Source organism: Homo sapiens, chromosome 13, assembly GCF_000001405.40.
Source record: "Homo sapiens chromosome 13, GRCh38.p14 Primary Assembly".
Taxonomy (NCBI): domain Eukaryota; kingdom Metazoa; phylum Chordata; class Mammalia; order Primates; family Hominidae; genus Homo; species Homo sapiens.
In genome coordinates this window covers 91818176-91830404 of record NC_000013.11, presented here as the reverse complement: position 1 = coordinate 91830404, position 12229 = coordinate 91818176, and the positions used below count along the sequence as shown (strand labels likewise).

General features: G+C 34.1%; 1 protein-coding gene across 7 annotated transcripts in view; it reads right to left on the bottom strand.

Moving 5' to 3' along the window:
* Positions 1-12229, bottom strand: part of GPC5 (glypican 5) — a 1468617-nt gene that overhangs the window by 1036833 nt on the left and 419555 nt on the right. For 2 of the 7 annotated variants that reach the window (XM_011521058.3, XM_011521060.3), the window contains one exon: positions 5410-7008. The exons of 4 other annotated variants lie outside the window; for them this stretch is intronic. Coding sequence is in view for 1 of the 3 variants with exons in the window: in XM_011521060.3 (XP_011519362.1) it covers positions 6957-7008 (52 nt within the window). In the remaining 2 variants the exon portion in view is untranslated. Of the gene's footprint in view, positions 1-3606; positions 4884-5409; positions 7009-12229 lie in introns of those variants that run through there. One more of the 7 variants, XM_011521059.3, reaches the window with a different exon arrangement.

The following is a 12229-nucleotide window of genomic DNA, read 5'->3' as shown; positions in this document are numbered from 1 at the left end:
TCTTAACTGCACAAATTGTAGAGCATGTGTGTTTGAGCAATATGAAATCTGGGCACCTTGAAAAAAGAACAGGATAACAGCAATGTTTGGGAAACAAGAGATAACCTTAAACTCTGACTGCCGGTGAGCTGGGCAGAACAGAGCCATATTTCTCTTCTTTCAAAAGCAAATGGGAGAAATATCGCTGAATTCTTTTTCTCAGCAAGAAACATCCCTGGGAAAGAGAATACGTGCCTGGGGGTAGGTCTATACACGGCCCCCCTGGGCGTGGCTGTCTTTTATGGTCTGTAGACTGTAGGGGTGAAATAGACCCCCATCTCCCATAGCACTCCCAGGCTTCTTAGGAAGAAGAAATTCCCACCTAATAAATTTTGGTCAGACCGGTTGCTCTCAAAACCCTGTCTCCTGATAAGATGTTATCAATGACAATGGTGCCTGAAACTTCATTAGCAATTTTAATTTCATCCCAGTCCTGTGGTCCTGTGATCTCACACTGCCTCCATTTGCCTTGTGATATTCTATGACCTTGTGAAGTACTTGCTGTCTGTGACCCACACCCTATTCGTACACTCCCTCCCCTTTTGAAAGTCCCTAATAAAAACTTGCTGGTTTTATGGCTTGTGGGGCATCACGGAACCTACCGACATGTGATGTCTCCCCCGGATGCCCAGCTTTAAAATTTCTCTCTTTTGTACTCTGTCCCTTTATTTCTCAAGCTGGCTGATGCCTAGGGAAAATAGAAAAGAACCTACATGACTATCAGGGCAGGTTCCCCGATACCTCTAAGAGAACCCTGACTAATACACCAAGATAAACTAATTATTTACATTTTGCTCTATTTACTCATTCTTTCTCACCCATATACACTCTAGTGTATACATTGTTTCCTAAGAACAAGGAAATTTTCATATTCAATCACACAATAATTATCAAAACCAAAATCAAAAAATTTAATACTAACATAAATCATTCTCATTATGTCCTCATTATGTCCTCCATAGTTTTTCCCAGTACAGGATCCAGTCTTGAATCCGGTCCATGTTCCTGCATTTAGTTGCCATACTGTCATATTGCTTTAGTCTCTAATATGAATTGTGTCTTTTTTCTGCTTTTATTTGTCATTCTTCCCCTTAAAATTTTCAAAGAGGAAAGGCCATTTCTTTTTGGACTCTCCTTCATATTGAGTATCCCATTGTTTTCTCATAATTAGAGGAGTTTATGTCCTTTTGGCAAGAATGCCATAGAGGTCATGTGTAGCCTTCTTAGTACATCATGTCAGGAGGCACATGGTGTCATTTTAACCCAATATTGATAATAACTTTAATAATTTGATTAAAGTGCTGAACACAACATTTATCCACTGTAAAATTCATGCTTTCTCTTTTGGTAATTAATAAATAATTAGTGGGTAACACTTTGACATTATGTCATTATGATGCCCCTCATCAAAATATTACCCATTAGTGGTAGCACATATTCATCATTTTTGGCTGAAGCAATTATTATTATTATACCTACAATTTAGTGACTTTCCAACCTCTTCTTTTTTGTACATTTTTTTGTTTATTGCAAGGAAGAGCTTCCCTTTTCTCTCATTGATTCATTTCCTTATATCAGTTTAGGTTCATAGATTCCTACTTTATTAAGCACATTATGATCTTCTACTGTATTTACTAATTTCTGATACTCAAATTGTGCCAGGTGTGTACATTTGGAGCTTCTTCAGTTTGGCCCCTGGGTGCTTTCCACCTGTATCTAACATTCTTTGAGAAAGCATTTACTTTCTGGAAAAAAATATTCTAGGCAGATGTTGTAGTTTCCCTACCCAGGCCCTGGAACCATCCATTTATCCAAGGAGTCCTCATTATTTTTATTGGAGAATGATATTTGAAAACCAGGATCTGCGAGATAGTCATGATCATTGCAATCAACGTGACATTGCTGTGAGGTACTCTTAACGAGTAGAACAAGGAAGTATTTGTGTGTGTGTATCTGTGTGTCTCTATCTATCTTCCTTCCTACCTACCTACCTACCTACCTACCTACCTACCTACCTATCTACCTATCTATATTGGAAGGACATTCACATACAGTTATTGTGTGTGTATGAGGGGTGAGTGTGAGTAGTGACATAGGGTGAAATGCACAAATATTAAATGTACCATTCAATGAGTTTTTGAAAATGCACACTCCCATAATCTATAAAGATAAGAAACATTAAAGTAATCTGAGAAAGTTATCTTTCCACTCTACACAAAGCACCAATGTTCTGATTTGTGCATCATTAGATTTCAATATTAAGTACTTCATGTAAATGAAATCGTATGTTGGCTTATTTTACTCAGCATAATGCTTTTGCTATTCAGCCATGTTGTTGCATCTATCACTAGTTTGTTCCTTTTTATTATATTCAGAATTCATTGTGTAAATACACAAGTTTGGTTATCTTTTCTGCTGTTGATGGATATTTCCATTTTACAATGTTGGGTTATTTTGAATAATGATGCTGTGAGTACGTATAAACAAGTCTTTATATGGATATATTTTAATTTCTCTTGGGTAAATATCCAGTGACATATTGCCAAGTTAAGGAGTAAGTGGTGTGTATAACTATAAGAAAGTGTCAAAAAACACATTCCAAAGTGATTATATCATTCTAAACTTCAATCAGTATAGGAGTTATTCTATACGCTCAGCAAGAAACAGTTTAAGTCTTTAATTTCAGCAGATTTAATTTGTGTAGTCTGATATTTCATTGCAGTCTTGATTTACATTTCTATGATAACTAATAACTGAGCTAGGGTCTTGATTTACATTTCCATGATGACTAATAACTGAGCAATCTGTATGTGCTAATTGCCATTTCATATATCTTCCTTTATGATCTAAGTGTCTGTTCATGTCCTTTGTTCTTCTATTCATTTGTCTTTTAATAATTAAATTGTAGGAGCTCTTTATATATTCTAGGCCAGCCTTTACCCAATATAGATTTTATGCATATTTATTCCAATTCGTGCCTGTGTGCATATTATAAGTGTCTTTTCATGAGGATACTTATCATTTGGATGCAGTTTACATGGTATTTTTAATGCTTTGGTTATTCTTTATTGTGCTATAAGTCAAGAAGATATATTTTTGTATTCTTTTAAAAGCTTTATAGGTTTTATACATTTTTAAATAATTTCTATTGATACATAATAGTTGTACATATTCATGGAATACACCTGATATGTTGATATAAACACACAATATGTAATGATCACATCAGGGTAATTGGGATATCTTCCACCACAAGCATTTATCATTTATTTGTGTTAGAAACATTCCAATTCCACTATTTTATTTTTAAATATAGACTTATTGTTACTTAAATTCACCCTATTATGCTACCAAACACTAGATCTTACTTTGTCTAACTACGTTTTTTCTACCCATTCAACAACTCCTCTTTATTTCCCCCTCCCCACTCCCCTTTCCTGCCTCTGGTAACCATCTTTCCACTCTTAAATTTTGTATTTATGTTTAAGTCTATGATCCATCATGAATTGATTTGTATGGTGTGACATGCACATACATACACACACAAACACTCATTCAATTGAACAGTGTTTTTAAATCATTTATTAACAATGCTTTCCTTTACCAATTGAATTGCTTTGGCAACTTTGCTAAAAGTTAATTGAACTTACTCTTTTGCTTTAGTGATCTATTTGTCAATTCTCGTGTCAGTTCCATACACTACTGAATACTCTGACTTTAATTTAAACTTTGATGTCAAATAGTGTAAATACTTCAATTATAGACATCATTTTCAAGACTGTTTTGCTTATTCTGTCTTCCATATGTCCATATAGATTTTTAAATATTTTGTAATTTAATATAAAACAGCCTCTTGAGACTTTGGTATTTTACTGAAAATATACATTAATTTAGGGGAGAATTGACCTCTTAATATGCTCCCTGACTTATGATTTCTCAACTTATGATTTTATGATGGTATAAAAGCAATATACTTTCAATAGAAACTGTACTTCAAATTTCCATTTGGTACTCTTGATAGATGATAGACCAATATATATTAGGTAGATAGAGACAGATGCTGATATTCCACATCTGTTCTTCCAATGAAAACATATTTACCTTTAAGTGCTTGAACGTATTTAATATGACTGCTTTAAAGTCTTTATCTGCTAAATGCAACATGTAGACATCTCATCATTTATTTAATATTAACTGCCTTTTAATTTTACTTTTGGTCCTGTTTCTCATATTTCCTTGCATGCATATTTTTTATTATTTTCAACTGAAGTTTGTGGACATGTATTAAACTCTGGACTCTGTTATCTTCCTCTGAAGAATGTTATTTTTAGTTAACTTGTCCAGACTAACTTCACGATCTGTCTCACTGGTGGTGGACAGCAGCTAGACTTACTACTGGGTTCTTTTAGCCTGCCAGTTGTTATGTTGTTTCAGAATGTTTGGAGCTTCCCTCATGTAAGTACTGTTGAGGAGTAAGCCAAAGATTTGGGAACAGTTCAGATATGCAGAGTTGAGGCTTCTTCCCTTTGTTGTTCCCTCCTTTATTAAATTCCTCTTTCATTTTCATGACTGTCTTGTAGACTCAAACCTCATCATCTGACTCCTCAAGCCAGTAAGTCTGTGGCTTTTGGCTTCAGTTCCAGCCAACTGGTATCACGTGAGTCCGGAGCATCCTCTGACAAAAAGCCACATGAACACAAATCTCACCCAGTATAGTTCTTTTCTTCAGGGATCAAATCCCTTCCAGTTTCTACTTTCTTTTGGCCATTTTTCTGTGATTTCACATAGCTGTTCTATATTTTCCCCAGGGTTTATAATTTTCAGCTCCAACTCTGTTGCTATTGCTGGAATTGGAATGAAGTGGTTCACTTTTTATTTCAACCATTATAAGGCATTATGATTCAAATATTTTCAATCTATAAAAACGGACAGCTCATTTTATTACTCTGCCAAGAATAGGGCAATGCTATACACTACACATAAACATGTGCTTAGACACAACACACAAACGTATAATTTCATTTAATCCTGAAGATAACATTGGAGATAAGCATATTTATCCAGTTTTACATTACAAAAAGTAAGACTGAGAGATACTGCTGCTTGGGCAAGTTCAAAAAGTTAGGTACAGAATAAAAATCAATTATAGCCATGTCATACTCTTTTGATATTCTCTATTTTCTCTTCCACTCTGTCTCTCTCTTTCTCTCTCTAGCTCTCTCTCTCTCCCTCCCCCACCCGATCCTCTCTCTCTCTCTCTGGAAAACAAATATATGTTAAATCTCTAAATGTTAGCATCATTGATGAATATCAATTAAACAGTATAATTTCATGGTTGAGATCACAGGCTTTAGAATAAGACAAACTTAGTTTTCATTTCTGCATAACCATTTATTCTTTATATGAATGACCAAATCTACAAAACAGAATGATAGAAATAACATAAAATTGCAGTCAGAATTAAATGTAATATTTCATGCAGAATATCTAATGTACATAGAAAGTGTTCAATAGAGATTAGATTTTATAATAACTATTTAATAAAGTTTCATTCAAATATACTAAGGATTTAATCTTCTTGGAAAAGAAATTCTCCCATGATATACTTATGCCAGATGTGATCCATCACATCTAGATAAACAATCTCAATAATATTAAGTGGGAAGGGGACAAAGAAACATTTATTGGAGGTATGCCATGAACCAAATACTGAGATAGGCATTTTTGAATATGTGATTCTATTTTACTTTCACACATTTTTTAAAGTAAATAACTCCTATTTATTTACAGATGAAGAGACTAAAGCTGAAAAACTTAAAGTAACTTATCCAAAATCATAAACCATTAATTATCTCAGCCAGTACTGGAACTTTAATCTGCCTTTCACATTTCACTTTGCCATGTTGCAAAACTGGATTGCCATGAATCTACAATGAATACTGAGCCATTTAAAACTTTTCTTATTAAAACACTGTCTGGGGTTTAAATGCTTCCTAGACTTTCTTTCCTCAGTCTCTCTCCTTCTACCCTCCTTAATTTAGTGCCCTAATTTTCTTCCTTCAAAATTTCATGCCATCATAGTCCAATTATAATCTCATCTTTCTGTCTTTCTCTTTATCCATTTATGTCATTTTTGTTGAATTGATTTCAAAATTTAGTTTTATGATGCTCAAAAACCTTTCAAATAGCACATAACCACATAGTATACTGTCTTATGCATTGAGAGAAATGAAATAGATTTATACAGTCTTATTCTTTCCCTGAAGACTTTTTAAATTGCATTTGTTTTATTAAATCACATGTGACCACTTACTGTTTTACTTAGCTAATGCATTCTGTACTGGCCCATGATTTCAAGCAGTCCTGAAGAATGGTCTCGATTAGATAACTTTGCCAAATGCACAACACCAACCATATTGATATTTCAAAGTGGTTCAGCCATTAGGAAAATGATCTTAGAAACAGAATTATAAATGTCAGGTATTACACATAAGATTATAAACATTAGTTATAGACATATTGAAAGAACTAATGAAGCAAAAATGAAATAGCAATCAAATAAGGGGTGGAGATACAGTTACATATATTATAATAGACAAAGAGTGATTATGACATTGGATCTTACTCAAAAGCACTCACTGTTTTATAGCAAAAATTGGTTTTGTGCAGTTTATGTTAGTTTGGGTCATAATTTTTAAGAGATTAATAAAAGACTAAGAATAAAGATGAAATATCCATTTCAAGTTCAAGAAAGTAAAAGAGATGTGAAGAAGGTAAATCCTGGATCAAGACTGAGAAGAAACTAGTTCTTTTCGCAGCTCTGCTTCAAACATCTAAGGTGAAGCTAAGACATTACTTAATAATTCTTTAAGTTGAAGTGGGAGCATTAATTTACTTTCACATACTCTTTGGTAATTTTACTCTAATTTATGATTGGTCATGAGGAGTCTGTTGATCCATATTTCACATCTGTGGAGCATCAAACAAACAAAAAAAGACATTTTGTTAAAAATATTTTTGTATTCAGGCACAGACTGTGGTGAATGAACATCTAAATCTATGGAATCTCTATATTATAAATCTTTTCCAGATATTGGCAGTTTGGGGGTAGTGGCATAACACATAAAGCTTTCAACAACATATACTGCCAAAACTAAGCAATAGAATACATTATCTGAACTCCTACTTTTTCATAGTTCTGCGATTTAAAACATGTTAAATGCTATTACCTTTACTATTAATACATACTTTATTGGTTCAACCTTTTCCTTCTCAGTATATTCCATCATACTATAGTGATACTGACTTGGTCTCTACATTGGTTTAGTAGATGTCAGAACCCAAACATTTAAGACACTTTATTTGGGTATAAATAAATGATTATGAGATGCTTATAATCACTAATGAAACTAAGCAAAATTCACAGGCACAGGAGAATAATATTAATTTAATACATGTGTCTAACATGAAGTTTTCAAAACTTTATAAAGAGGAAGAGAGAGCTACCTAGACTTAGAGTCCAACTCATGTGATATTGATAGAGTGCAGGAACATACTAGTTTTGAAGTACCTGTGATTATCATATTCATCCTCCTTCAACAGCAAACTTTTCCTTTTCTTATGTGATATGGCTTGACCCTATGATCCAAATCTGATCTTGAATTATAGCTCCCATAATCCCCACGTGTCATGGGAGGAACCTTATGCACTATCATGAGAACAGCACAGGGGTAGTTTTTCCTGTGCTGTTTTCATGATAGTGAATAGGTCTCACAAGATCTGATGGTTTTTATAAAGGGCAGTTCCCCTGCACAAGTTCTCTTGCCTAGTAAAATAAAAAGCTTTCACAAAGAATGTTAATATTATCTTGAAATTCTAAATATTTATTTAACTTGCTTACTGACGATGTTCACAAAGTATGTTCAAGTGTGAAGGTTAATGCGTTATTTCTTATCTCATCCTGATCTTGCGTCTCTTTTCTATATGTATAGCTTCAGACAAAAGTGCAGCAAATGAAAGTCCATCCTGCCACTCTTCCAAAGAGCAAAGAGTGTCCATGGAAATTAATCAACATCCAGGTTTCATTGTCTGTCTGTCTGTCTTTTTCTGACAAACGAATCAGGGACTCAAGTGCTCTCAAGGAGCTCAAGTTGATGATTGATGGCTTATAGTTGACTGTAACATGAATAACTTCTACTTTGGGGATGTCTGTATACTACATGCTTGCTCTTCACTTGTGGTTTGAGAAGGACATCTAGGAAATCCCACTCTATGTTCTACCAATTCTGTTGCACTTGAACTCTACGGTGTAGTCAGAGCTCTGACAATGAATTAATTTTTTCCAAATAATCCAAAAGCACAAAAGCAGTATAAGATAAAGGCTTTCCTTTAAGGATAATTAATTTTACAATTAAAAATACGTTCTATTTTGCATGTGTATGACACATTAAACCTTGATTGTTTAGTTCAAATTTTTTTGCACATTTAAAAACCTCAAGCCAGATTCTATTCATAGTTACAGATACAGAAATCCTATAAAAATATTAATAAATTGATTTTATCAATATATAAAAAGGATCACATGTAATGTCTAAGTAGGATTTGGAGTTTTGATGATTAGTTAGCATCCATTAATATAATAATCATATGAATAGATTAGAAGAAATCACATTACGTCTTCCAATAGATTGAGAAAATCCATATGATAAAATTCAATATCCATTCATTAAAAAATTCTTAGCAAACTAAAAATAGAGGGAAACCCTCTTTATCTGACATAACATATATCAAACCTACAGAAAACTTCACACTTATTGATGAATAACTAAAATTATTACTTTGATTTAGAATCATTATCAGAAGAAATATCTCCACTTTTATTCAACATTGTAGGAAGTTTTAAACAAAACAACGGAACAAGAAAATAAATGTATAAGGATTGAAAAAAGTGGGGAAGAGCCTTTTTCCTAGACAATACAATAATATGCCAAGGAATGTAAAGTAAACGTCTAGGACAGATTACGATGTTTAACAAGGTTGCTGGATATAAACTTGACATATGTATTAAATTGCATTCCTATTTATAAACAACAGCAAGAAAACAAAGTTTCAATAATTACAATAGTAACAGTGAATATCAATTTAGATATTCTGGGAATAACTGTAAATAGATGTGTGAGATATCTCCAAGAAATATAAAATATTATTGAGAAGCATTAAAGGCAGTTAACTAATGAAGCTGCATACTATGTTCATTGCTTAAAAGTTGAAACATTACAATATGAATAGAATGTTATCCCACCCAAAACCATAACACATTTCATATAATTTGACAACATAATTTAAAAATTTATCTGGAAGTACATTCTTTTTTTTTTTTATTTTATTTGTTTATTTTTTTTTTGAGACGGAGTCTCGCTCTGTCACCCAGGCTGGAGTGCAGTGGCACGATCTCAGCTCACTGCAAGCTCCGCTTCCCGGGTTCATGCCATTCTCCTGCCTCAGCCTCCCGAGTAGCTGTGACTACAGGCGCCCACCACCACGCCCGGCTAATTTTTTGTATTTTTAGTAGAGATGGCATTTCACTGTGTTAGCCAGGATGGTCTCGATCTCCTGACCTCGTGATCCTCCCGCCTCGGCCTCCCAAAGTGCTGGGATTACAGGCGTGAGCCACCGCGCCCGGCCCTGGAAGTATATTCTTGAAGAATAAAGCTCAACTAAACATGCAGACTTATAATAAGTTTCTACTGATTAGCAAACTATGGTAGTAGCACAATGACAAGCCCATACACAAAAGGAACAGAATAATACGCTCAAAGATAGACCAATTTATTTATGGACGCTTGACAAATTAGATACTTCGCACTGCAGAGTAGTGGGATGGTGGTGGGGGGAGGCTTTGCAGAAAATGAGGGCCGAGTGGAAATCAATTTAAATAGAAAATAAACTAAATGGGACTTGCATGGCCCTGTGTATAAAATTCATTTCTAGGTATCTTTGTTGAAAAACATGCCTATAAGGCTATGAGAAAATTATTAACAACATATTTTTATTTCCTAGGGTAAAGACTAAATTTTAAAGCCTCCCAAAAAACACAAATAATAAAGTAAATGATTAATAAATTCCATTATATAAATATTGACAATTAGTGCATCACAGACACCACGAAAATGGTACAAATGCAAACCATAATGTAAGAGAATATATTTTTTTAAAAAATAACTAAATAGGGACTATAAAAACAAAAATACCACCACCACCACCAACAATGACAATGACAAATTCTTACCAATATTAAGATAAAGACAGGACTACATAAATGAAAAATGGGCAAAATATTCAAGAAAATGCTTTGTAAAGAGGGAAGGCAAATAGTCCGTAAATATTAGAAATAAGGGAAATACAAATTAAGAAAAATATAACTTCAAACTCACTGAGTTGTTAAAAAATTTACAGTCTGACAATACTATGTGTTGCGGAGGATGTGGAGATGTCATCTCATATCATGAGAGTATAAATTGATACAACCATATCAAAAGGCAGTGTGACATTATCTAGTAAATCTGAGAGCATGCAAAACTTATAATCCAGCAATTTCTCTCCTCAGTATGCATTGCAGAGAAACATAGGCACGTGCAACAATTATATACAGGCAGCTCTAAGTAATGTTATTCTGAATAGCCCCAATGTGAAAACACTCAAATATCCATCAGCAATAGAATAGCTCAATAAATTGTTATATTCATAAAATATTCAGCAATTAAAATGAATAAACCACAGCTGTACGCAATAATATAGATGGATTTTACAAACAAAATATTGAGCAGTAGATGCCAGAAACAAAATAATCTATATAGTATGATAGCTGTTCAAAACTATGCAAAACTCTGCTATTTAAGAAAGCATATGGCCGGGTGTGGTGGCTCACACCTGTAATCCCAGCACTTTGGGAGGCTGAGGCAGACGAATCACGAGGTCAGGAGTTTGAGACCAGCCTGGTCAACATGGTGAAACCCGGTCTGTACTAAACATACAAAAAATTAGCTGGGCGTGATGGCAGGCACCTGTAATCCCAGCTACTCAGGAGGCTGAGGCAGGAGAATCACTTGAACCTGGGAGGTGGAGGTTGCAGTGAGCTGATATCACGCCACTGCATTCCAGCCCAGGCGAGAGTGTGAGACTCCATCTCAAAAAAAAAAAAAAAAAAAAAAAAAAGCGCATATTTTTTTTAATAAAAAGAAATAATTCTCAGTTAAGTCAGGATATTGCTTACATCTGACAGCAAACAGGAGTTTGCAGTCTGGCAATACGCCCATGTTTCTAGGTGGGGATGTTTCATTACGCTGTCTTCTAACTTGATGTTGTTTACATGATGTTCACTTTATATGCATCCATTAAATGCCACATATATGTTTTACACTGTGTGTCATATTTAACCACTGAAAAAAATGTAAATTAAAAAAGTCCAGTGGCTGTCTTCAAGAGTTAGCTCCAACACATGAGGACGGACTCAACTCATTCAAGTAAACTTAGTTGTGTCCTCTTTGTCTCTAAAACATCTTGTATTTATATATCTTATAATGCTGGCTTTGTCTTGTTACGGTTTTGCATGTTACTTTCCCCTGCACTGAGTTATTGACCCTCAAGGGCTGGGACTACATCTTCCCCGGTTTTGTTTCTGGAGGGCCTAGCACAGAACTTGCTAGTACTTGCTGGTGCTAGAATGTCTTTTAATCAATGCTCAATCTTACCATGGTTATCTCCATCAGTCTAATGAGACCCAGCATTTTATTATTTTTCTATATCATATTTTTCTCCATTGAATACTAAAACTGTGCAAATAAACATGATTTCTCTACACAAAGCTAAATTTAAATAACCTTAGAGCTAGAACATTTACATAATTGTAGCTATGATCACATTTATGTAATATAGGGTCTTTTTAATAATGTCAGTTATATATAACAATTATTATCATTGTTCATAATAAATGAGATAAAAAGTTGGGTGTTATTTGCTATCAGTGAATGCTGATGAAATATTTGTCCCAGTCTGATTTGGTGAAAGTGGATATAGCCTAGCAGTTGTGATATACAAGCTGCCAGACATTCTGGTAAACAAAAACAAACAATGGAATTAGAGTTCTTAGGAGGAAAAAATATGGTGCTTCTTTTCAAATATTTTCGTACCA